At 48.1% G+C, this 27438-nt stretch overlaps 1 protein-coding gene across 3 annotated transcripts in view, besides 2 other annotated features; it reads right to left on the bottom strand.

Moving 5' to 3' along the window:
- Positions 1–27438, bottom strand: part of AGAP1 (ArfGAP with GTPase domain, ankyrin repeat and PH domain 1) — a 637751-nt gene that overhangs the window by 510292 nt on the left and 100021 nt on the right. The gene's annotated exons all lie outside the window — the stretch shown is intronic.
- Positions 23872–24724: an enhancer, noted in NCBI's record as "H3K27ac-H3K4me1 hESC enhancer chr2:236505422-236506274 (GRCh37/hg19 assembly coordinates)". NCBI's record gives its function as "activates a minimal SCP1, AML or CMV promoter by ChIP-STARR-seq in primed H9 embryonic stem cells {active_cell/tissue: H9 hESC(primed)}" and the evidence as "EXISTENCE:reporter gene assay evidence [ECO:0000049][PMID:30033119]".
- Positions 25723–26017: an enhancer, noted in NCBI's record as "tiled region #15430; K562 Activating DNase unmatched - State 12:CtcfO". NCBI's record gives its function as "activates a minimal TATA promoter and a strong SV40 promoter by Sharpr-MPRA in K562 cells {active_cell/tissue: K562}" and the evidence as "EXISTENCE:reporter gene assay evidence [ECO:0000049][PMID:27701403]".

Below are 27438 nucleotides of genomic sequence, written 5' to 3'. Positions count from 1 at the left end.
GTAGGTATAGGAGGTAAGAATGGTGCCAACGCCAATGGCAGCAGCAGAGGCTCTGGCTCATTCGGCCGTGTCTAAGCTTACTTCACGTAACCCCAACCACTCTGGGAGGTAGAGACTGTTAACATACCCATTTTATTGAAACATATGAAGAAACCAAGGCACAATGAAATTAAATAGATCGGCTGGGCGTGGTGGCTCACACCTGTAATCCTAGCACTTTGGGAGGCCGAGGTGGGCGGATCACCAGAGGTCAGGAGTTCAAGACCACCCTGGCCAACACGGTGAATCCCTATCTGTACTAAAAATACAAAAAATAGCCGGGTGTGGTGGCGGGCGCCTGTAGTCTCAGCTCCTCCGGAGGCCAAGGCAGGAGAATTGCTTGAACCTAGGAGGTGGAGTTTGCAGTGAGCCAAGATTGTGCCATTGTACTCCAGCCTGGGAGACAAGAGCGAGACTGGGTCTCCAAAAAAAGGAAAAAAATTAACTAGATCTCCAAGGCCATCCAGCCACTTCAGCAGCAGAGCCAACACGCAGATGCAGCCCCCTGGCTCCTGAACTCACAACAGACCCCAGCCCCCTCCATCAGAGGTGATGGGGAGTCAAGAACTTGTCACCAATAAAAGCTGTAGGGCTGCAATTCAGGAATTACTTCCCACAACTAGAAGGAAACCAGAGCAAACTCAGGATCACTCATTCACTTGTTCACCTGCATGCCTAACGAACATCGACAAAGGGCCTAGCATTGGCTAGGTCCTGTCTAGGTGCTGGGGAAACGGCAAACACAAGCCCTTATATTCCATCCAGTGGGGAGAGAGAGACACCAGACATGTCAGGGAGCTGGGGTTTATGGGGAAATAGGAAGCAGGTGAGGAGGTGAGGAGGAGGGGCTGTGGCTGGGAGGAAGGCCAGGTGCCACGGAGGGTCCTCAATGACACTGGAGGTGAGGCTGAAGGATGCGAGGGCCAAGCTGCAAGGGCCCCCAGGAAGGTTTTCCAAAAAGAGGAAGCAGTGCAGACATGTAAGGGTCAGGAGCATGCATTTGGTTGAAGGATCAGCAGAGCCATGAGCAAGGGGAGAGTGGCAGAAGGCGAGGGCCAGGAGGAGGTTTTGGCAGAGGGCATCACACTCTGACCCGGCTTCTCAGGGATGCCCCTGGCTGCTGGGCAAGTGGACTGTCCAGGAGAGTAGCAGCATCGGCTTGAAGAGGTGAGCAGTAATCCGCCAAGCAACGCTGCTGCCCGGGACCAGGGTGCTAATGGCTGAGGTGGCTCAGGAAGCCACTGCATCCTGGATATACTTTGAAGGCACAGCCCAGCATTTGCTGATTTCTGGAAAGTAGTTCTATTGTCAGCATCCATGCCCGGCAGGAGAAGAATGACAAGTCTCCAGCATGCGAGGGCTTCAGCTGTGACAAAGAAGGTCCCTGGGGGCCGAGGGCAGGTGCTGCAGAGGCCCAGGAAGGCAGCACCACACCTGGAGGCACAGGCAGCTACAGAGACAGTAACATGTGTCTCCTTGGGACAGCCATGCCACCAAGAACAACTGGCCCGGGATCGGGGCGCCAGCAGTGGCCAAGGCTCAGGAAAACCAAGCCCAGCATATAGTCTGGCTGCGCACTCTGGACAAACCTTGCAGAAAAAAGTAGAACAGGGCCCTTGTTGCAATGCAGAATTGCCCAGACACCTGTGCTATCAGAGGAGGTAGACACTTGAGCTGCTGGGACAATGTGCAGCAATTCGGGCGCCGAAGCTGGTGTTGCTGATCTCCAGCAGCTGGCCGCCTCTTGGCAATCTTGTCCCCTTCTAGTGCAGCCAGCCCAGGATGCTCATGAAATTAAAGGGGTGGACATGGGGAAAAGAGCTGCATCTGCAGGGAGCCTCTTCTCTCCTCCAGGCCAGAGACTGCACTCTAGATCCTAGGCTCCAGCAGCCCCAGGATTGACCAGCTCCCCCACTTCAGCCCCAGGTTTGAATCCCAGCTCCCCCACTTCAGCCCCAGGATTGAATCCCAGCTCCCCTACTTCAGCCCCAGGTTTGAATCCCAGCTCCCCCACTTCAGCCCCAGGATTGAATCCCAGCTCCCCTACTTCAGCCCCAGGATTGAATCCCAGCTCCCCCACTTCAGCCCCAGGATTGAATCCCAGCTCCCCCACTTCAGCCCCAGGTTTGAATCCCAGCTCCCCCACTTCATGATGTGAACTCGGGCAAATCATTCAACTTCTCTGAGTGTTGGTTTCCTTCATGGTAAAGTGGGGATCGCCCTGTCCTTACTGCGTGAGTTCCCTATTACCACTGTAACAAACCACAAACTTGGTGGCTTGCTTGACACAACACACATTTCTTACCTTACATCCAAGGTCTAAAATCGACATGGGCTAAAATCAAGGTGACTTAGGGCTGTGATCCTGGAGGTTCTGGGGTAGAGTCCATTTCCTTGCCTTTTCCGGCTCCTAGCGCTCTCCCCCATTCCTTGGCTCATGGCTCCATCACTCCAGCCTCTGCTTTCATATTCACATCTCCTTCTGTGACTCTGACCCAAAAGATCATTCTTACTGCCTCCTTTTATAGAGACCCCTGTGATTATGACAGATCCACCCAGATAGCCCAGAATAATCTCCCAACGCAAGGTCCTTAACTTAATTTCTTTTGCCAACAGAAGGTCACACATTCACAGGTTTCAGGGATTAGGACTTGGGACATCTTTGGGGGCCGTTATTACGTCTACCACATCTACCCACCCAGGTTTTGATTTCTGCTTTTGTTTTGAGGGTTAAATAAGATTATACATACCACATAACAAGAGCTCAGTAATAATAATTATTAACAGCCACTATTAAAATTTTAAGTCTTGTAATTTTAAGCTTTTATGGTACATTATTTAAATATAAGCTTAAAAATGGACCTTAATAAAAAGATAAAATAACTAAAGCCTTTTCATCTATAAATCCTTAACTTGAAGCTTTATGCCTGAATTGAGACTGAAAATTTTTGCACTAATGTGAAATGGGTCTACCAGAAAGTGAAGGTTAGAAAAAAACTAAGAAAGACCAGACCTGCAGGAGGTCAATTAAACTGGACAGATAGGGGCTTCAACTTGCAAGATAGACCAGGTGCCCCATGACAACAGAACCTAGTCACATTCACTCTGTAGAGTAGGATGAAGGCCAAGGAAAACCAACTGCTCCCGAAAAATCACCTACAAAAACCTACTGGAATTTTCCAGCTCTTGTGGTTTAGTAATGATAACACAGAAATTGCTAGCATCCCATGTATTTGGAGCTCTGAGTCAAAATAAACAAAGAAATCACAGTAACTCATGGATATCATGGGTTACACATCATCAACGCAGTAACAGTAAAAGGGAGCAAAAACTGCACGCGCCCAAGACCGAGCACATCCCACCCTCCAAAATGTGTGCGATCACATACAGACGCAGATCTTCCAAGTCTGAGCTTCTCACAGTTACACAAGTTGCATCCTCTTGGTTGATGCTCCACGAGATGTGAGCTACTCAACTCAGTTCAGTTAACTCGCCGGCCCCTACAAACCCACAGCACCACAAGGGAGACTCAGGTCCCCCAACTGCCATCTTAGTATGTATTTAAATTCAAAAGTGCATGCATGCATATCCCAAAACTATGCACTGCATCCACTTACTTAATAAAAGAAATCTGAATTTGGAGTGTTTTTAAAAACAAAAAACAAATACTCATGTATGCAAGACATGTTTCTATCCAAACTATTAGCCAGGCCGCAGAAACAGAGATTATAACTCAAAAACAAATGTTCTTTTGTTTGTTTGAGATGGAATCTCAGTCTGTCGCCAAGGCTGGAGTGCAGTGGCGGGATCTCGGCTCACTGCAACCTCCGCCTCCCAGGTTCAAGCGATTCTCCTGCCTCGGCCTCCTGAGTAGCTGGGATTACAGGTGCCCACCAACATACTTGGCTAATTTTTGTATTTTTAGTAGAGACAGAGTTTCACCATGTTGGCCAGGCTAGTCTGGAACTCCTGACCTCAGGTGATCCACCCACCTTGGCCTCCCAAAGTGCTCGGATTACAGGTGTGAGCCACCGCACCTGGCCAAAAACAAATGTTCTTTACAACAACAAAATTAACAGCAAGCACACTGCTGATTTGGGGCCTCATGATTTCAACCACTATTCTAATTTCCTCTTAAAAATCAAAAACGTTTTCAAGAATTGTTTGTAGAAAAAGTAACTTAGCTGTGCTTTGAACATTAACAAAATCTAATTCTCTGGACATTTTAACCTAGTTTTTGAAAGTTATTATTTTAACTGCTGTTCCTCATCTATTCACACATGTTTGTTTTGTGTTTTAAGAACATTTTTCCCCCTACATTACGATTAATTCTTAAAATTAAAGTCACAATTCCCTGGTAAAGCCACTTCAGCATGCCAAAAGTGAAAGCAAATGTTTCCCTTCTTTACAGCAAATTCATAAAATGTGAGCCCAGCCCAATCCCTAGAGAGCTGATGTGACTTTGACTTTTCAACTCTTTCCAAGCTTAAAAAAAAAAAATAAAAAAAATTTAAAGATGCACGTTTGTTCATTTTACAAGCATCCCTAGGGAAGTTAATAATGGCATTTAAAAATTACAAGATACACCCCTCCTCACTTCAGCGAAGCAACAAAAAAGTACGTTTCCTAAGTGTTAGGCTACAAAATGATTTTTAAAATCATACGTTCAGAATTTTGTTTTCACTATTTGTTTTTAAATCTGTTCAGGACAGAAACATTTATTAAGGGTCTACTCTGTGCTAGGCACCAAGCGTTTTCAAGTTGAACACAACTGGGCAGAATGAAACCACAGGTGGGGCAGGAAGCCAGAAACCTATGAAGTTTTCTATACCCACAAATGTGTTTTATTTAACGAGTTTAATCAATCTAGGGTTAAAAGAAGATAGGCAGAAATGAAATTGCCAGGTCAGAGGTCAAATACATTGTTAGGGTTTTTATTACTGTTTGACAAATTTCTCTCCAGATGGCTATCTCAATTTACATTTTTCCCACTAAAATGTAAAAGGGGAACTATTTTCCATCACCTTCACCAACACTGGGCCTTTGTTTTTAACACTGAACTTAACCAGATGAAAAGAAAGAGGTCACCTTTTTTTTTTTTTTGAGATGGAGTCTCACTCTGTCACCAGGCTGGAGTAGAGTGGCGCACTCTTGGCTCACTGCAACCTCCGCCTCCTGGGTTCAAGTGATTCTCCTGCCTCAGCCTCCCCAGTAGCTGGGACTACAGGTGCACGTCACCACACCCAGCTAATTTCTGTATTTTTAGTAGAGATAGGGTTTCACCATGTTGGCCAGGATGGTCTTGATCTCTTCACCTTGTGATATGCCTGCCTCTACCTCCCAAAGTGCTAGGATTACAGGCTTGAGCCACTGCATCCGGCCCAGAAGTCACCTGTCATTTTAATTGTTACTCTTTAATCAACAAAGCCAAATATATTTATATCTTAATTGCTCCTTTGTTTCTTCTTTTATGAATTTTGTGTCCATTTCCTTTAGTTAGGAAATATTTTTCTTATTGTTTTATAAGAACTCTTTACATATAGAAGACAATGCTCTATATGTAATACATATTTTTGTTGGTCTTTTAATTTTGCTACAAGTGTTTGTGCTGTTCAGAAGGTGTTCTGTTGTTCAGATGCTGTCAAAGTAATCCCCTTTCATTTATTTTCTGCCCTTGAAGTTCATCCCCAAGAATATAGGAACACTCAAAAATTCATTTTTTGAGGAAAGGATTCTGTCTTTGGAATGGCTATGAGCATAAAGAGAAAAAACAATAATTTGACCTAGTTTCACAATAACCCAGCTCCCCAAGAGGCAAAATGCATAGCTATCCTGTGAAGTCAGGGGAGCAGAGGAAAGCTGACCCCACTTCCTTAAAATACTTTCTCTTGGCATTAAAAAATAGGTTGCAATGGCTCAGAGATGAGAATCATGCCAAATGTGCATTTGATCCATGCTTACGGATAAATTTAGGCAAGATTTAATAAATTCTCTGCCTACAAACAGTAGAGAGATAATGCTTTGAAAAAAAATAGCTCAGGCTGTGAGTAAAGAATGGGATCATTCCAACTTTTGGTCATATGAGATCACTCCAATTGTAACAATACTGGCAAGCTCCTCAGTGGGACCCATTAGAAGGCAGTGCGAGGCAGAGCAGGGAGGATGGATGCTGTAGTCACATGCCCTTTGAAGTCTGGTTCTGACTCCCAACCATGTGACCCTGGACAACCCAACCGAGGGTGGGGACGTCCCTGGACCGTGCAAGCTGGCTGGCAGTGGAAGTGACAACACCCACCTCTGTGGGTTGTCATAGCAATCAAATGAAGGAGCAGAGGCTGCTCATTCCCTGCGCGGAGGAGTCAGGCGTACTTGCACTCTTCATGGAAGGGGCTGTAATCATTTGCATTTTATTAGAAATTTTAAAAAACCACACCGCCAGGAAAACCACTCACCTTGAACAGCCTCCTTTATTTGAGCGCACCACACACAGGCAGAAGTTTACTTGGACTTTGACTATTTTCAAGTCGGCCCCAGTGAACCAAATTTGTTGTAAAATATCACATACGGCATTGGGCCCTGAGTAGAGAAAACATCTCAGCTAAACCATTAATTTAATAGCCACAGAATCAAACTGATTCCCTAGGAGGCCAAGAAAACAGGAAAAGACAGCACCCTCTTGGTACCCAACGCTGTGTTCTATTTCCCACAAAAGAATTCACGGTGAATACTGAGTTAGCCAGTCTCGTATCTTCCCTAAGCGTGTGGAAAAAGGGCCCTGCCCCTGAGCCTGGCACACCCCAAACCACAAGCCAATCTGCAACGGGGGTAGAGAGCCAACCCACACTCCTGCAGGCCTGGGTGCTCCAGATGGAAGTGAAACTGCTAACAGATTTTACACCAGACAGCATTCAATGACTTTCCACTGCTCACGGGCTAAAGAGCAAAGCCCCCACCCCTCGCCATGTTTCTCCTTGCCTTTTCTCTCCCTTGAGCTACAACTGCCTTCTTCCCTCCCCAAATACATCCAGCCCATCACAGGCCGTTTGCTGCTGCTCCTCTGGGATGACACACACTCCTATGCCATCTGAGACCTGAAGCAAGAGCAGCGGCTCCCTAGAAAACTCCCACTCGCCAGCAGCCCTTTCCGGATCCCACTTTTGTTATACACGCTCCAGCACCAGCCACCTCCCCGCTTTAAGTGACGCTGGCCACACTGCTAACTGTATGATTATGGGGTGACTCTGGCCAATGTCACCATCCCTTCTAGACTCCAAGGACCCCCTGAGGCCAAAGACCTTGCCTGTTTCTGCTCACCAGCACCAGTAGGGTATCTAGCACATTCGCAGATGTACAATCAATATTTGGTGAATCAATATATGAACAGATACCACGCAAGAAAACTTAGTGCTTTTGAGTATTTGGCCAAAACACACAAAAGGGGGAAAAAAAAAAAACCATACCAAAGATTCTGAATTCTGACTCATGCACAATATTCCCATTAACAAAGGGTTCTTGCAGACTACCACTAGCCAGGTGTCACCTAAGTCCCCTACACAGCAGATGGACAAGGCCACCCTGCGGGCCACACGGCGCCACTATATGCTAATTCACTGTTAATTACAGCCTCTCCTCGAACTGCAGGAGGAGCCTCATTCTACAGGGAGGCCCGCGCCAATTAGGCACATTCACAAAGGAATATTTTAAAGTAATTACCAGCTTATATTCATCTTTCTTTTAATTTATCAGTAGATCACCTGGAATAATAGCAATAAAGTGGTTCTAGTTATCTGTGATTTATTTTCCTCTTTTATTCTCTTCCTTACCATTTCTTGTAGTTTTTTCAGGGAGAATGGGGAGATAAAGGGAGAGAGGCAAGAAGGCGTTATTATTTACCTAAAAACACTTTCCCTGGCCTCTATCTCCTTAAGGAGAATGAAGAGTTCTGTTGGTTTCTGAATCCACAGTTTCTGCTCAAAAAGATATAAGTCTTCTCATTGAAGGAAGGAAAAAGGTTTGGGTAACAGCTCTCAAAATATGCATTAAGTGTAAACAACTTTGGATTTTAAGATAGAACCCATTTGCTTATCAAATAAGCTGCCAAATTAAAAGGTGCTTACATCCCCAGGGCTGCTTGCCTCAAAAATCTCAGGTAAATAATATTAAATGTGGCCGGGTGCAGTGGCACAGGCCTGTAATCCCAGCACTTTTGGAAGCCGAGGCAGGCAGATGACTTGAGGCCAGGAGTTCAAGACCAGCCTGGCCAAAATGGCGAAATCCAGTCTCTACTAAAAATACAAAAATTAGCTGGGCATGGTGGTGCCTGCCTGTAATCCCAGCTACTCAGGAGGCAGAGGTTACACTGAGCCGAGATCGTACCACTGCACTCTATCCAGCCTGGGCGACAGCGTGAGCTCCATCTCAAAAAAAAAAAAAAAACAAAACTGAAATGCAAAATTCTCTTGTTACAATCTATACGTATTTGCTAACCTCACCTGGGAAAGAGAGGTTAACTCCAAATTAGAAGGACATCCTTAGGCATCATCAGAGATGCCTCACATTGGAGAGATAAAAGGCCACAAACATAACCTGGGCGGAGTCTCACTGGAAGCAGAAGCCAGAATCCAGAGACGTGGGGTCATTCCCTCCACAAGATCACAACATCGGCTGGCAGGCCAACCTGGAAGCAGGTGCCAGGTATGCGTCCGGCATGCAAGCCCAGGTGGCACTCAGCACACCTGGCCGGCCACCCCATGCAAAAGGACCACTGTGCCCAAGCAACCCTGGATGCGCTGGTCAGGATTTCCCAAGTTTGGTACACGTGAACCACAACTGTTCTTAACATGAGTTTCATGCATTTGCAGGTTCTAAGGAGTCAGGGAGACCCCCACACAGTCACGTTCTTTTCCCTTAGCACCTGAATACAATCAGCTATTAAGTAAGTATTTGTCAGTTTGAATAAGTACAAAGGCAAAGACCAATTCATAGATCATCTGGAAGGGCCCAGCACTCTAGGCGCTGCCCCTGAGATCTCATTACCAGGGCCAAGGGCTCCAGCTGACATAAATTATTTACTGCTGTCCTTGCCCTCTGATTATGCACACACATTAAATGCAACCAAGGGGCATCTGAGCCCCACTTTAACCAGGCACCGCCTCCACGCCACAGGAGGGGTGCAATCAATTCACAAGCACCCCTGAGATGAAAGGTGCTGGTGTAAAATCTGTCCACTCTCTCTTCCAGCACTGCGAACCCGCCCAGCGTACACCCAAGCAGCAGGTTACCTGGGCTTCACTGAGAAAAGAAAACGTGTGAAACAATAAGCCATCTGGAAAACAAAGTCCTGAAATTGCACTCAGATTACGATTACAAGTAGAAAATAAAGCATGTCTGATTGTTCTCCAGTGAGACTCTAGGCTGCGGACAGGAATGATTTTACATAATTATTAACATCAGTATTGATGGAGGACTGCCTAGCAGGGAGGCCGCTGGGCCGGGTTTGTGACCGCCACCTAGGATGTGGTCTCAACCCTTAAACCGTGCCCACAAGCATGCCAAACAGCAATGCTCCCAGTCACAGAACGGTGACCATATGTTCCACAACTGGAACAGGGAGGGAAGGATTTCTTTGTCTCCTATGTAAATCTAATTTATATGAAAACTACAAAGGTAGGAAATGAAAATCATTAATATCATTGATGAATGCTCTTTAAAGAAATGAAGACAGTTATACCAAATCTAGATTTCAACAGAAACTCAAGGTTGTTTTTTCTCTATACAATGTTCCTCACAACTGGTTTACTATCCTGCTTATCAATCTAAAGATCCAAGCCTCCCTGGGCTCCCTGTTCAGAGAACACATGTGGAGAGGGATTCTCTAATTACACAGCGTCTGTAATCTGCAGGCCTGGGCACCACAGGGAAGTACACAGGCATCATAAATCACCACCTCAAAACAGGAATCAGAACCACCCACCCCATGTTATCACAGATGTGTGCAACTGCAGACAAACCACTCCTCCAAAAATCAGCTCCTTCACAATAACTATTCATTATGAAAATATGAAGGCTGCATTGAGGATGGCCATGACCTTGAATATTAACATCATTTTCTATTATATTCGTTGCAGCATCCTGACCTCAAGGGGCTTGCAGTCTGAAAGGGAGACTCTTCATCTCCAACGAAAGTGTTGTGTGGGCCACAAGGGAGTCAAACCAAGACCACCTTTGCAGCTGCCTGGGAAGGTGCTCTGGCAAGACAGCATGAAGTGGCAGTCCCTACACTAGGCAGGGGAACATTTCAACTGGCAAAATGAAGTGAGAGGTGGAGGATCCAGTAGGGCAGAGTCCTCCCCTCGGGGCAGTGGAAGGTCAACACACTAGCCCATCCAGGGAGCTGACTCGGCTATGGGGTTGCAGGCAGGCGGCTGGCAGGCTTCCGGAGGTCATGGGCACAGTTTCAATGAGGAAGACGGTGCCTTAGGAAGAAAGCCAAGCTAACGTCAGTCAACCATCCTACTGGGCCGCTCTTCAGAGGGGCTGAAAAGGATTACAGGCAGAGGACAGGTGAAACGAAACTGGGCTACAGGACAAGAATGAGAAGGCTGTGGGCAGGGGGTGGTGTCAAGGCAGGAAGTAGGACCTGCAAGAGTTTTCTGAACCAGAGCACACCTGTGGCCCAGTCTTAGCGCACCTCCTCCCCAGCCCAGGGTTTCCACTCCAGGGCAGGGAGCTCACGGGAGCACAGTGCGTTTGAGGATGGCGGGTCTGCAATGTGGATGTGTGCGGAAGCGCTGTGCTATGGGCTGTATTGAGCTCTCCTGAAATTTGTATTTAAAGCTCAACCCCCAATGCGATGGTATCTGAGGTGGGATCTTTGGAAGGTAATTAGGGTTGGACAAGGTCATAAGGATGGGGCCCTCATGATGGAATTAGCACCCTTAGAAAAAGAGACAGCAGAGAGCTGGCATGCTCTGCACCACGTGAGGATAGCAAGAAGGCAGACATCTAGAAGTCAGGACAAGAGTCTCTCCAGAGTCCAACCATGCCAGCACCCTGATCTTGGACTTCCAGCCTCTAGAACTGTGAGAAAATGCATTTCTGTGGTTTAAGGCACCCAGCGTCTGGTATTTTGTTATGGCAGCCCAAGCGGACAAGTGCACGGTGGACTCCAAGATGACGAGGTATCATAAGGATACAGCAGATCCTGTCTGGCCAACGAAGAAGCTAGAGCCATGTTCGGTGCAGACTCAAGCAGGCACACAGGATGACTGTGGCTCTATCGGGTAGCAGTCAACACAGATCAGAAGCCAGGAGCTGGGCTGGAGCTTACTCCAATGGTGGAGACAAGCCTGTCACCATATCTGTGACTAGGAGCTAAAAGTGCTGGCCCTGCACAGAGTTGGGGCAAATGCAGGAAAAGCATTGCTGCTGGCAACTTTACCATTATCCTACCCTAGCTAAATGGAGCTGTTGCCCAGTGCCAAACCGTCCCTGAGGAAGGAAACACCAGGTATTCTCAGGTGGTTGGCCACTCACTCCCTGCACCCAGCCCAGTGACTTCACCTCATGCACCTGGCGAGCAAGACTCCATTTACCAACCTCTGAAACACGAAGCCAAGAGTTGCGCCTTCAATCCTGCCAAGCGCCAAATATGCCCACAGCCTCCCACTACACTTTCTGGCCTGTGAGTTGGGAGTGAAAGTGGCCACATAACTTCTGAGCCACAGCATACAACAGCAAACAGAAGACCTCCAGAGCTCCTGTTCCTCCGGTACAGAACCAGGGACGTTTACCATAAGGATGCTCCCTCAGCACGGGACCCCAGAGCACTGAGACAGGCAGGAGCCCCTCTGCCATCCTCAGCGCGCATGCAGGTCCGGGGTCAAAGTGAGGAGCAGGCCTTCTCTACTGAAAACTCAAGACATGTAGGCTGCCTATAACCACAGCACGCCCAGCCTGCCTTCCCCACTCCCTCTCGCACTTCTTCCACAGCCCAGCCCCCAGTTCTTACCTCTTGGAATCTCGAATGATCGTGCCCAGCAGCCCTTGCTATTTTCTCCACCTGTTGTGGAGGCTTCCCGCTCATTCTGAAGCTCTCCCTGCCCCATGTCCCCATGTCCTCTGGCCATTTTAACAGGGACTTCTCCTGCTAGGGACTCAATTTCATTGTGTTCTCTTCCAAGCACCAGTGGCCACATCTGCTTTTCCTTATGTTCCCACAGCTTGTTTACGGTCATCATCAGTGATCAAGAAAAAGTGCTCAGAAAGCTGCCTCACTAGGACCTGGTCACAAACCCTCCCCACCATCAAGAAAGAAAACTGCCAAAAATAAGGCAAGAAGGAAACAAATTCATCAGCCCCCTGTGATAAGCATCCTTCCCAATGACAAAGCTCTGTGCAAAAATCATTTCTATGCAGAACTTACCACTGCCTCCTTCCTCCCTCCTTAGCTTCTTAAATTTGCTCTTCTGTAATTATTATTACTACTTCTACTACTATTATTCCTAGTACTATCATTTGCATAGTTGGGGGTATTAGGGATGGGGGGGAAGTCAAGAACAAGCTGAAAGGTTTTACGGTCAAAAGTGGGTCATGCCAGCTCTCAAACCTTCGTACAATCTATTCGAATTTCACCCTTGTCCCCTGATCTCCCAGGCCTCTGACAGACTGACCTCAAGACCTGCCATCAGATATATTCCATGGAAAATTGCTCCTCTCTCCCCTACTAAAAAAGGAAGGAGAAGAACAATTTTTTGGTTGGAGGCCAAGTAGCAGCAGGGCGTCCGGAATCCAGAGACCTCGTTCCTCTCTTGGCTCCACTGTTTTCTGGGCCTGGGACCCTGGATGCGTCCCCCAGACACTCTGGGCATCATCGGCTCCCCAGTGTCCTTCCATCCGTCCAGAGGGCAGGGTTGGTCTCACTGGGAGAGGCAGAGGGTCCCAGCCCAACGCTGGGCCAGGGAGGCTGCCAACATGGGACCCAGGGCCTGACCACCCCCTTCCCTGAGCATCTCCAGGTCTCCATGGCCTGGGGCGGCTCCACCTCCTGAAGGCCCCATCCCACAGAATCCCAGCCAAGCCCTCTCAGCTAGTCTCCAATCAGCGAGTTTCCTCCCAGAGCCAGATTACTTGGGGGAAAAAAAGACACAATGGAATTTTACAGAATACGGCCATGGATCCAGCCTGCTCTGATTCTGACAGTATCCAGCATGTTTGCCAACACACTTTCCCTGCAAGATGAAGAAGAACTGCTAGACGTGGGCCAAGCAGAGAAGAGATGCTGAGGCTCCGCAAGGGGATGCTCCAGAGGCATCACTCTGTGAAGCCAAAAATGAAAAGTGGGCAAAGCTAAAAACGACCCGGTCAACGTGCAGACGATGCCAACCCGCCCACGCTCTGAGACAGGCAGACTATGAAGTCAGGGGTAATCTCTTCAGCATCCACCTCATGTCTGAGACAGCAGGCACTCGCTCACTTGAGGCACTTCCAAGTCAAAACTCGAAGATCTAGATGCATTTTTTTGGTCTAACATATTTCCAAAAGAACAATATTTGTTTTGGTAGAACACAACATCTAGATATTATCTATCCTTTAAAAAATCCTAAAATACTATTAAACCTCAAAGAACGTTCCCCGATAGTGACTTGGGGCCTGGGAATCCAAGCATCCCACCAGCGCAGCAGTCTCGCGCCCCGCTGCCCTTCCACCTCCAGGAGGCTGCCCTCGAGGCTGGCCTGCAGCTTCCCACACCCAAGCCCGCACTTAAAGTGGAATCCAGAGACCTTGGTGGAGGCTCAAAGCTGTCCTCTTGTGTGCACCAGCCGAAGGGGGCCTTACAGGGCTCAGGATCCAGCCCCTTCAGGTGACAAACAAAGCAAAGGCTGAAAAAGGTAACCCCAGATCAATCTCCATCCTCTGACAGTGGACACCCAGGCCAACGGGCTCCACCCAGGCCAACGGGCTCCTGGCAAGGCCGCCTGAAGTCAGAACAGCTCCTCCTGCCCTGGGCTCTGTGAGTTTGCTTGTTGCTGTGGGGAGCCCTAAAGGTAGACTAATAATTCTGTATAATAGCTAGATTTCCACATAACTGTGAGATTGCATGAATATAAGGTAAAGTTTGATCCAAGTACATTGTTTTTAGCACACAATGGAATATTAGAACCCAAGTACTGGTGGGCTAAATCATGCATCGGGCTTCAACAAAATGTCCTATTTCCCACCTAGCATTCCCCTGCATGGTCTAGGGGCAGCCCTGGGTCTGGGCAGGGAAGGGGGGGCTCTGGATTTGGAAACAAACGAACTCACCGTGGTCCCACTTCTGCCCCTTAACGAATCCGGGAAACGTCCCTTACCCAGCTGACCCTGTTTATTTTTGTCAGTGGGATGTAAACAATAATTTAATACCCATTTTTCTCACCTGCCAGTCTCATGGGCCAGATGAGATAATATGTGTGAAACAGGTTCGTAAACAATTATAATTTAAGGTAAGCAGTGCTTTTTTTTTTTTTTTTTTTTTTTCAAGAGGCAGTCTTGCTTTGCTCTGTCATCAGGCTGGAGTGCAGTGGCGTGATCTCAGCTCACTGCAGCCTCCGCCTCAAGCGATCCCCCTGCCTCAGCCTCCTCAGTAGCTGGGACTGCAGGCGTGCGCCACCATGCCAGGCTAATTTTTTGTATTTTAGTAGAGACGGGGTTTCACCATGTTGGCCACACTGGTCTCGATCCCCTGACCCTCAGGTGATCTGCCCGTCTCAGCCTCCCAAAGTGCTGGGATTAAAGGCGTGAGCCACCAAGCCAAAAGGTTTGCAAACAACTGTAAACAATTAAAATTTAAGGTAAGCAGTGTTCCTTCTTTCTTTGAAGTTCTGGCACCAGTCAATGCTTCTATGACTCAGGATTGGCTTTCGATTTGGTGACATGCAAGATTCATTCTGATGCCCACTTTTTTAAAAAAAGGTTCATTATGGATGTGATACTAGACATTCCAAACATAAACCCAGATGATGCTTTCACAGAAGTAGTTCTTGGTCTCTGAATCGAGTAACTCATTCCTGCCATCCCCAAACCCCCAAATCTACCAGATGCTGGCTCCAGGGTGAAGGATGTTCATCTCTGGCAAACAGGTTTTGCTTTCCTTAAAAACAGATACATGATCGGCTCTCAGCGGTCTGCTGTTGTGGAGAACAGAAGGCCTTTCTTCTGCCTCCTACATCACATTCACCAAGGGGTTAAAAAAGGGCAGCCGCAAACATATGTGAAGCAATGCCAAGGGTGACCAATGGAACGCAAGCCACTGGCCAGAGCAGATGCCTTACTTCTCACCGGTGAAAGGCCGGGGAAATGGCCGATCTTGGGAACCATGAATATTCAACACTGTTTACAAGAACTCTTCTTCTCTGCAGACCTATAAACATGTTTGCTTGTTTTGTTGTTTTCCTTATAAAACACATACTTATTGGAGAAAGTGTAGAAAATTCTTAAAAAGTAGAAAGAAAAGCTCTGTAATTTCACCAGGCAAACACATCTTTGTGTCTGCAGACAGCACTTAAGCAACCGGAGTGCTGTTCACCACCACACTGCAGCCAAGGGAGGAGGATGTGCATGCCTGCGTTGCCATGGCAACACAGGGCGTACACCGCGTCCTCTATACTCATCGGATCTGCGCTGAAATTCTAGAGTCATTGACTAATTGCTGGTTGAGAACAAATGTTAGACAACAAAAATGTGCTGACCGGGTACAGCTGGCAATTTTTACAAAAGCAGCCTCTTCAAAGACCTCCCTGTTTCTGATGGAGAATGAGTCTAAAATGCTTAAATTTTTCTGTGCCTGCATTTCTTAAATATCGCTTTCCTTCTGGTCTCCCTTAGGGTGTCTTGAATAATTGGTGTTTCCAGCCGTTAGGGACCCACACGTGCCTTGGCAACAAGGTAGGGAGAAGATAAATGATGCCGGGATACAAATGGTGGGTACCAGATAATGCCGTGCTGCACGACAAGCCGGAAGGGCCGGCGTCGTCTGGTGAAAAACAGATTTTAGGATTAGCTAGAATCTTCGCATGTGGCGAAATTCTGCTCTCTGGGTATTAGCTGTGCAGCCTCGGGGTGGTTACAATCTCCCTTTCCTCATCGGTAAAATGGGGATAATTAAGAACAACAATATAAATGAAGATGAGGGGCGTGAAATGCAAAACAGCTCAGCACCTGGAATGTGAAAAGCACTCAATTATTATTTATTACTTATTACCACTTATTTATTACTATTAAATGTTATCTGTCAAAAGAAACATGAGGCTGGGCACAGTGGCTCATGCCTGTAGTCCCAGCACTTTCGGAGGCAGAGGCAGGCGGATCGCTTGAGGTCAGGAGTTTGAGACCAGCCTGGCCAACATGGTGAAACCCATCTCTACTAAAAATACAAAAATTAGCCAGGCATGGTGATGCACGCCTGTGGCCAGCTACTTGGGAGGCTGAGGCACGAGAATCGCTTAAACCTGGGAGACAGAAGTTGCAGTGAGCCAGGATCGCGCCACTGCCCTCCAGCCCGGGGGACAGAGAGAGACTCCGTCTCAAAAAAAAATGGTAATAGGCTGGGCGCGATGGCTCACGCCTGTAATCCCAGCACTTTGGGAGGAAGAGGCGGGCAGATCACGAGGTCAGGAGATCGAGACCATCCTGGCTAACATGGTGAAACCCCATCTCTACTAAAAATACAAAAAATTAGCCAGGCGTGGTAGCGGGCGCCTGTAGTCCCAGCTACTCAGGAGGCTGAGGCAGGAGAATGGCGTGAACCTGGGAGGTGGAGCTTGCAGTGAGCCAAGATCGTGCCACTGCACTCCAGCCTGGGCAACAGAGCGAGACTCCATCTCAAAAAAAAAAAAAAAAAAAAAAAAAAAAGATAATAAAAATAAAAAAGAAACACGAATGTGCAACCTAAAGGAACTGGCATAAAGAGGACAGTAACAAGCACTTTTTTTTTTTTTATTTTGATACAGGGTCTCGCTCTGTTGCCCAGGCTGAAGTGCACTGGCACAATCGTGGTTTTCTACAGCCTCAACCTCCCGGGCTCAAAGGATCTTCCTGCCTCAGCTTCCCGAGTAGCTGGCACTACAGGTGCACACCACCATGTTCAGCTAATTAAAAAAAATCTGTTGTATAGGCGGGGTCTCACTATGCTGCCCAGCCTGGTCTCAAATCCCTGGAGTAAAGCAATCTTCCCACCTTGGCTTCCCAAAGTGCCAGTATTACCAGGCAAGAGCCACACTATTCTTTTTATATATGCCAATTGGAGGAATGATACATCTGAACCAATTTTTTTTTTAAATTCCATTCCTGATGCCAGGTTCTGAAACCAGCCTGAATTCTGATATATTTATATTAAAAGGAAAAAAAAAATGAGCAAATAAACTAATCACATGGCTGGAGAGCTTCTAGCAAGATCCACCTGCTATGCAACAGTTTTTCATCTTCATCTCGGGGATGCTGGAAGAAACCAGAGTCACCGTGTGTCATTTTGATGGGTGCCTGTGCCAAGACTGCAACTTGCAGACCGTCAACCAACCCGTCAACCAACCTGATGGACGCATTCCTTTCTGACAAATGCGGTAAGACCCACCTAACTAGCGACCAAGAATTCCAGTGCTCAAATTCCCCATGAAATGTTGCATAACCGAAACACTTACAAGCAGGACTTCACAGATATGAGAGGAGAAAATACTTCACACATGGAGAGACACTCACTGTCAAGAGGAAAAGATAAAAAGCCACTTGTTTGAAAAACAAATCACTGAAAGTTGCCTATTTACAGCACTGAACATAATTTTACTGAAAGGAGAAGGTATCTAACTAAAGAATTGCATTTCCTGGTGTATACTACAGTTTCTTAAAGCATTTGCTCTCTGACTTTTATACTGCCTCCTAGCACCTGAACTGTGTAACTAGTCATTCTACATTAAGTCATTCAATAAATAATGTATTGAGCACTGCGAAGCACCCATTCTGATCTTGGTGTCTGGCACATATCTGTGCACTCTGGGAGCTCACAGTTCCGCAGTGGTGCACAGACAAGAAAACAAATACAGTAGGTGCCTTAGTTCGTTTTTCATGCTGCTGATAAAGGCATACCCTAGGCTGGGTAATTTATAAACAAAAAGAGGTTTAATGGACTCACAGTTCCAAGTGGCTGGGGAGGCCTCACAATCATGGCAGAAGGTGAAAGGCACATCTTACATGGCGGCAGGCAAGAGAGAGACGAGAGCCGAGCAAAAGGGGTTTCCCCTTATGAAACCACCAGCTCTCAGGAGGCTTATTCACTACCATCAGAACAGTATGGGGGAAACCACCCTCATGATTCAATTATCCCCCACTGGGTCCCTCCCACAACACGTGGGAATTATGGGAGCTATAATTCAAGATGAGATTTGGGTGGGGACACAGCCAAACCATATCAGTAAGAAGTGTGTCCGATGGGCCAGGCACGGTGGCTCACGCCTGCAATCCCAGCACTTTGGGAGGCCGATGCAGGAGGATCACCTGAGGTCAGGAGTTCAAGACCTGCCTGACCAATATGGTAAAACCCCTTCTCTACTAAAAATACAAAAATTAGCCAGGCGTGGTGGCAAGTGCTTGTAATCCCAGCTGTTCGGGAGGCTGAGGCACAAGAATCATTTGAACCCAGGAGGCGGAGGTTGCAGTGAGCCAAGATCGCACCACTGCACTCCAGCCTGGGTGACACAGCGAGATTCCTTCTCAAAAAAAAGAAAAAGAAATGTGTCTGATGCGGATAACTGCTAAGGAAAATGGAAACAGGATAAGAGGAACTGTGGAGGTGGAGGAAACATGCACCATTAGGCTGAATGGGATGGCCACACTGAGCAAAGGCTTGAAGGAAGGGCAAAATGCAGGAAGCGGAAGGGCACTCAGGCAGAGGGCACGGCTAATGCAAAGGCCCTGGGGCTGGCGTGCTAGAGGAACAGCAGGGACTGAGTGTGGCTGGAGCGGAGGGAGTGAGGGTGAGCCTGGCGGGCAAAGAGGTAGTGAGGAAAGAAGGCCAAGCAGGGGTTAACAAAGTTCCACTGCCACGGGCCAGGGAGTAGATAGTTTAGGTTTTGTGGGCCAAGAGACAAAATCGAGGGAATTATGTAGATCTCTGTCACAACCAGTGAATTCTGCTGATGTCACATGAAAGCAGCCACAGATAACATTTGAGCAAACAGGCATGGCTATGACCCAACACGGCTTTATTTGTGCTCGCTGAAATATGAATTTCATATCATTGTCATGCACCACAAGTTATGCTTTTGATTTTTTCCCCCAACTACTTAAAACCACAGAAACTGTGCTGAGCTAGAAAGCCATACAGAAGCAGGTGGCAGCAGTTTGCCAGTGCCTGCTCTGCGGCCCTGGAGGTCATAGTAAGGACATCGGTGTTTATCCTGAGAATTTTGGAGAGCTGCTGCAGGTGTGAGGCCCAGGAGTAATGTGATTGGACTTGGGTTTTAGGGGTCACCCTGGAGTCTCCTTTGAGAATGGACCTTTTGGGATGGGGCACGGAGGCCCGCTAAGAGGTTACTGCAGTGACCTGGGTGATGTGGTGGCTGGATTGTGTTGAACCTCCAGTGTGACTGTACCAGAAAAACAGGGCCTGCTGGGAAGTAATTAACTTTAAAAGAGGTTGCCCAGGCTGGTCTTAAACTCCTGGCCTCCAGTGATCCTCCCGCCTCAGCACTGAGATTACAAGTGTGAGCCACCACACCTGGCTCCACGGACTGGTGATATGGTTTGGCTGTGTCCCCACCCAAATCTCATCTTGAATTGTGGCTCCCAGGGACCCAGTGGGAGGTTACTGAATCTTGGGGGTGGGTTCCCCTATTCTGTTCTGTGGTAGAAAATAAGTCTCACAAGATCTGATGGTTTTATAAACGGGAGTTCGCCTGAGCAAGCTCTCTTGCCTGCCCCCATGTTAGATGTAACTTTGCTCCTCATTCACCTTCCGCCATGACTGTGAGGCCTCCCCAGCCATGTAGAACTGTGAGTCCGTTAAACTTCTTTCCTTTATAAATTACCCAGTCTCAGGTATGTGCTTATTAGCAGCACGACAACAGACTAATACAACTGGTGTTCTTATAACAAGAGGAAGAGACAGCAAACCTGTCTCCATCTCTTTCTCCTTCCCTTCTCGCCTCTCTCCCCACCCCCAAGCACAGAGAGGACACAGTAAGGAGGAACTATCTGCAAGCCAGAAAGAGGGGCCCCACCAGAAACGCCACCTTGACCTTGGACTTTCAACTTCTACAAACTGAGCAAATACACTTCTGTTAAGCCACCCACTCTGTGGTCTCTGTCGTGGCAGCCCAAGCTAACACAGTGGCATCCAGTGGAGGTGGGGAGCTGGCTGGACCCTGCAGGTACTGTGGCAGTGGCGTTTCCCAGCTTGGCTGGATACTGAAGGCAGTGAGAAGAGGAGAGGCGTTACCAGGACTCTGAGATCTGGGGCCAGAACAACAAGCAGTAAAAATAAAGTGAGCACCAGCTGAGATGGGGGAGGCTGCAGGTGAAACAATGGTGGGTATGCTGGTTAATACTGAGTGTCAACCTGACTGGATTGAAAGATGCAAAGTATTGATCCTGGGTGTGTCTGTGAGGGCGCTGCCAAAGGAGATTAACATTTGAGTCAACGGGCTGGGGAAGGCAGACCCACCCTCAATCTGGGTGGGCATCATTTAATCAGCTGCCAGCAAATATAAAGCAGGCAGAAAAACATGAACAGGCAAGACTGGCTTAGCCTCCCAGCCTGTATCTTTGTCCTGTGCTGGATGCTTCCTGCCCTCGAACATCAGGCTCCAAGTTCTTCAGCTTTCGGCCTGGGACTGGCTTCCTTGCTCCTCAGCTTGCAGCCAGCCTATTGTGGGACCTTGTGATCCTGTGAGTTAATACTCCTTAATAAACTCCCCTTTATTACATATCTGGCCTATTGGTTCCATCCCTCTAGAGAACCCTAATCCAGCGGGGATGGTGGGGGTCTGTAATGAGGGGGTATCTACAGGAGTATGGGGGTCTATAGGGCAGAGGGTGGGTAAGAGGAGGGCTTCAGGTGAGGGCTCCCTGAGCCTGAGTTGCTACTGAGTGTTTCCAGCACAGTCCATGCAGGCTGAAAAGGTAGTGCCAGCACCTCCCTTAGGAGCAGCCCCCTGGAAGCAGGCACACTGATCGTCTGTGGGGTAAACAGAGGCCATAAATCATCCGAATTAGATCATCAGCTCTGGCCCTGCTGCCAGATGAGCTACAGAATATTTCCAGTGTCGGCTTTTTGGATTTTGGACAAGGGACTTGAACCTGTAATTACTGAGTAAATAACAGTTACGAGAGAGGAAGAAAGGCTGGGATGGAGAGAGGGGCTCCCTGGAGGCTGTTTATATTCCCCTGAAGTTGACACCCTGAAGTTTACTGTGGCTGCAGTTTGCACCTACTCATCTTTAAAGTTGTCTGGAAGAATCGCCTGTTTTCAAATCACAGTGGAACCTCCGCCCTGAACACAGGCACTTCCCTGAGTCAGTTTCTCAGAAATTATTTTCCTCATCCTTCAGGGCTCCACGTCGTGGGTACCAGCATTGCCTCCACCAGGGGCGACTGACCGTGCCATCACATCCCAGGATCCCTGCTCATCTTCCCAGCCCTGGGGCAGGCGCTCTCTCTGAACCTGGAGGGGAAAAGCCCTAGAGAGCCAGCGATCAGGTAGAATCACGTGGGACCCAGAAAGGGCACTGGAGGAAGTGACGCTGGGCAAGTGGACTGCAGGATTCCTCTGAAGGATGAAAACAGGCTCTACGAGCCACTCCCAGGAACTTCCGGAGCCACATGGGCCATGGCAGGGGATCCGCAGTTCTCCAAAGCAGAGTGACCATTCTGGACAAATCCTGACTTGGTGGGGGCTTTTTATAAACTTATTTTTGTGGCTATGGAATAAAGAGTAAGATAGCTTTGCAGTCATTTCCCACATCACACATAACTGCCCTCTGCGTGTGGCTAATTCATGCAAATACTTCCTCCTGGGTCGCCCAGAGCTCACCCTGCAGCATCCACTTCCCCAGCCTCCTTGCTGCCCGCCACACCTTCTCCATCACCAGACTCCTCCTGGGCAAAATTGGGGCAGGAAGAAAGCACACTGCCACCCCCCCAACACACAGTGTAAACGTACTGCAGCCCACAGGCCCTCGGCCACCGAAATGAACAGCTGTGTGGGTTCTCGCAGCATTCGTGGAAGGGACTGGCTGCGTACCCTGGGGTGTCTTCTACAAGCAGCTAGAAATTTCTTTGTTGGCGTCAAGTAAGTTCTCCACAAGGAAAAATAGAAGCAGCATCTCAAATGGACTTACTGCAAGCATCTGAAGGCATGCGAGTAAATAAATACATTCCTACCTGCTCCGAGGACAGCAGTGAGCTCATCTGTGTACACCACCACAGACGCAAATGTCAACAAGAGGAAGACAGGCTCCCACTCATCTGCCCAGCCAAATATTTAAAGCAGCTGAGCCCATCCACAGCCCTAAATATTTAGATGAGTGAATAAAGAACTCATTTCTCATGTGCTTTTTAAATGGGTTTTCATTTTGAATAAAATCTAAAAATAAATTATCTTAAAAAATAAAGACTTTGCCAGGAGTCTGGCTGAGGTAGTGGGACTAAGACGTCCCACTGTGCACCAAACACACAGCCCTGGGCCACCATGCTGAGTGGCACAGTCAGCACCCGGAGGGACGACTCCGTTACAGCAAAAACGCATCATCTGTACATTTAGCATAAGCGGCTCCTTTTCATATCTTTGCATTTAATTTGGCAATTCTGAGTTTATACTTGAATAATCCCAGGATGATGAGTAAAAGAAAGTTAAAATTAGTTTCACGTCATCCAGTAAGTCCTCACTTCACATCACCAATAGGTTCCTGGAAACAGCAACTTTAAACGAAACGACATACAATGCAACCAAGTTTCCCATAGGGTAATTTGATATAAACAAGAGTTAAGCTCCTATGGCTTATTTCTGGTCACAAAAACATCACCAAACTTCTAAATAAAGACCAAAGCCCTTCTAATATTAAACACTGCAATAAACGTGAGCTTACATACATGTAAAAATAAGTAAGATAATTATTTACCCAATTATTCCAGTTCAGGGTGGTGGGAGCCTGTCCCAGCAGCTCAGTGGGGGCAGGCAGGAACCAGGGCGCTGTTCCATCGCGGGGCCACTCACACATGCCCAAACTCACTCAGACTGGGATGCTGTAGACACGCCAGTCACCTAATGTGCACAGCTTTGGGACGTCGACGGAAACCGGAAGACCCAAAGGAAACATGGGAGGGCGTGCACGCTCCACACAAAGGAAACACGGGAGCGCGTGCACGCTCCACCCAAAGGAAACACGGGAGCGCGTGCACGCTCCACACAAAGGAAACACGGGAGCGCGTGCACGCTCCACACAGGAAACACGGGAGCGCGTGCACGCTCCACACAAAGGAAACGGGAGCGCGTGCACGCTCCACACAGGAAACACGGGAGCGCGTGCACGCTCCACACAAAGGAAACACGGGAGCGCGTGCACGCTCCACACAAAGGAAACACGGGAGCGCGTGCACGCTCCACACAAAGGAAACACGGGAGCGCGTGCACGCTCCACACAAAGGAAACACGGGAGCGCGTGCACGCTCCACACAAAGGAAACACGGGAGCGCGTGCACGCTCCACACACAGGAAACACGGGAGCGCGTGCACGCTCCACACAGACAGGGCCCCAGCGGGAATCCATTTTTTTCATCACCAACGTTAGAACAAATCCATGTCATTCGAGGGCGTGCTGCACATTTTTGGGTAACCCTAAAATAATAATAGTATCAATTGTGCAGTAAGGTGGTTGCAATGTTTTCCTTTACAAGCAGTCTGGACAGTTATTTACAGCTGGAGACACCCCTTAGGGTCAACTAGTCTGAAGCTCAGGAGACAGGGAAAAAGGAAAGGAAGTGACGGAAAGACTGGCCAAGCAAGGGGTGCTTGCTGGGTGGCCAAGGTGTGTGGCCCTGGAGGGGCCAAGGCCTTGCATGAAGGGCTGTGTGTGGCAGAGGACAAAGCAAGCCCCGTCCTCATCTCTGGGAGCTGTGCTTGCAGAGTGGAGGTGGCCCTGAGCACACAACATTCACTCCCAATTCTGCTCCACACGTCCTGAGCACCTCCAGTGCCCCCAGCTCTGCCCTGGAGGCGGGCAACAAGGGTGACAACGCTGAACCACAGGGCATCCCTGGCCTTGGTGGTTGAAGGGGCATCTTTCCACATAGAAGAACTCAGGAGCTGGAGTCTGGAACCTTAACTCTTTTGATCTCCCTTAATCTGGCTGTGATGAGTCGGCTGGGGCTGCTATCACAAAGACCACCGGCAGAGGCACTTCAACAACACACGTTTACCTCTCACAGTTCTGGCAGCTGGAAGTCCAAGTTCAAGGTACTGGTCAATTTGGTTCCTGGTGAGGCCTCTTCCTGCAGAAGCCATATCTCCTCATGATGTCCTCATAGGGTACAGAGCAAGCGCTCCTGAGGGGCATTCGTGCCACCACAAGGGGTCCACTCCCATGACCTGATACCTCCCACAGACCCACCTCCTAATACCATCACACGGGGTTGCAGGGACACAATTCAGTCGACAGCCCCGGCCTTGGGAAACATCATTGCTTTTCTCATCACTAGGACTGGGGCACAAGAGAGGAAGAGTGAAAGCTGATTGACCTCCGAGGTTTCTCTTCTATCTAAAAGTCTATTATTCTAAAAATAAATTTAACAACATCTTCTTACACAATCCCCTCAAATACAGCCATACGATGACACAGCACCTGCAACCAGGAACCCGGGAAGGGTCTCTCCAACTCTGCCTGCCTTTCCCCAGACCAGGGACCAGCAGCCGGGGTGCTACCTGTGGCTCACCAGAAACACAGACTCTCAGGTCCACCTTGCCTTGCTGAATCCAAATCTGCAGGTAACAAGGTCCCAAGGTGACTCCAGGCACACCGGAGTTAAGCAGCTGGAGTAAGTCTCTGGGATGCCCCTCCCCAGGTAGACTCCTGTCCTCAAGGTCCTTGGGGCTCCAGTCTGAGACTCTATTTCCTCAAAACTCTGTAGTGCCCCACAGGCATCTGGACAGTCCCACCTGTCTAGTTTGAGCATCTGTTAAATAACAGTGAATACACATCCATGGCCGGGTTCTGACTCCGTTTAATCACCTTAGATGGAGCTGGGAATGTTTACAGTGTTCATGGATAGCTGTGCCACTTAGACTTGACATGAAGTTAGACTGAAGGCTGTGCTTATGGGTGATTTCCATGGAAAGACGGCATCACTGTTAGGAGCACAGCTGGCTCTTAGGGCACACAATTCACAGGGCTGCGATTTTCACAACCACTTCCAGGAGCATAGCTTCATAACATCAGAAACATCTGCCGGCCCCTGTACACAGTACGCAAAGTAATACATTACTGCTTCATTCTGAGACGAAACACTTTGACCTTGTGCTTCTCCATCATAGTTTAAGAAGCTGCCCTAGTTTATGTTGATTTATTCTTAAACAGTTCTTAGCAAGGCAAGTAAACGTATAATTTTTCTTAATTTTCAAAGACAACGGAAACTTTCCCAAATAGCCTTTGCCACCTCATATCGCTGTCAACTGCTAGTTTTTGTTAATTTCACATCAATCATCGGCTATAAATATTTGTGCCATATCAGCAGGGGATTTATTAGTGAGCACGCTTTAGCAATGCATCTGCCCAAACACCAAGCATGAGGGACAGTTTGTTTACGCATCTCACTCCCTCCACCTGCTGGTGGCTGCTGGAAATGAGTCCCCCAAAAATCCAGCCTTCACTTTGTAGGAAGTGGCACTGACAAATCCACCTAGTACTGCTTTACTTAGCTGTAAGTAACAGCATAATTGAAAGTGCTATACGTGTTTATCAGAACAAAAACACAGGAGCAGGCACATTAAGGCAGCAGCAGGCCCAGGAGTGAGAGTAAGCTGAGTTCTGGACTTCAGCTACACTTCCTTCCTGAGAATGTATTTCAGTGCCCACTGGACCTATGTGCTTCTGGTCAGTTTCACGGTTTCCGGCCCCTCGAGGGTGTGCTCCCCAGGAAGGCTGCCTTTCTAAGAGTCAGCTCCCAATACTGGTGAGAAGCCCAGGAGCTGTTTCCAGGCATCAAGACCATGCTGGCCAGATCCCTTACAAACCTTCAGTTTTCCTCCCCTTCCCCTGGAGGCTGGGCTGCACTTACTCCTCTCCCAAGCCGTCTGAGTCAAGGCTGCCCCTTATTCTCTGAAACTCCCTTTCTGCAAAACACACTGGAGTTCTTCAGGTCTGCAACAGGCCCCTCTGGCGCCACACCCGCCTCACCTGGGTCATTCCGTCCACATGCCGGGAGGTGCCCTCTCCTCCTTGCCAGTGCCAGCCTGGTGCTCTGGTTCCAGCTACCTCCTCTAGATAGCAGCAGATGAAACTTTCTTTAAAAAATATGTTGATACTTTTACATCATAAAAAAAAAAAAAAAAAAAAAAACAGCAATCTGGGCCGGGCGCAGTGGCTCACGCCTGTAATCCCAGCACTCTGGGAGGCCGAGGCAGGTGGATCACTTGAGGCCAGGAGTCCAAGACCAGCCTGGTCAACATGGTGAGACCCCATCCCTACTAAAAATACAAAAAATTTAGCTGGGTGTGGTGGCATGCATCTGTAATCCCTGCTACTTGGGACGCCAAGGCAGAATTGCTTGAACCCGGAAGATGGAGGTTGCAGCGAGCCGAGATCACATCACTGCACACCAGCCTGGGTAACAGAGCAAGACTCCCTCTCAAAACAAACAGCAATCTGGAAAACTCCGCATCATATTGTCAATTCTTCTTTAAAATTGATAAATCTCATGAAATGCTGAACACAGTACCTGGCCCACAGAGATGCTCTACCCATCAGAGGAAGGAAGGACAGAAGAAAGAAAGCCAAAAGGAAACTCATTTACAAAGAACAGCAAGAGACAGAAAGTTATTCCTCCTCTCAAGGAAGAAAGGAGAGTACAGAGGAGGAGACGCTACCTCTGATCCTCATTTTGTTTTTCAGGTTCAGTAATAAAACTAATATTTAAATATGAAAAAAAAAAAACCCCAGAATGCCTATTTGCTACAGATATTATAATCTTCCTAGTCACCAGAAGGGGGCAGCATCTTAAAAGCCATGTAAGAACTGTATTCTGTCTCTAGAGTAAGAAGCTGAAGTACTAAGTCTATTTGAAAAGCAAACGCCTATCAGATGCTATTTAACATCTCAATCTCCACTTCCTTAACACCGCTTGAAAACTATCCTTACTACATGTGCACCTATGATTATT

Source organism: Homo sapiens, chromosome 2 (genome assembly GCF_000001405.40).
Source record: "Homo sapiens chromosome 2, GRCh38.p14 Primary Assembly".
NCBI lineage: Eukaryota > Metazoa > Chordata > Mammalia > Primates > Hominidae > Homo > Homo sapiens.
Note: the sequence above shows the minus strand (reverse complement) of the source record. Positions and strands in the feature narration are given on the sequence as shown.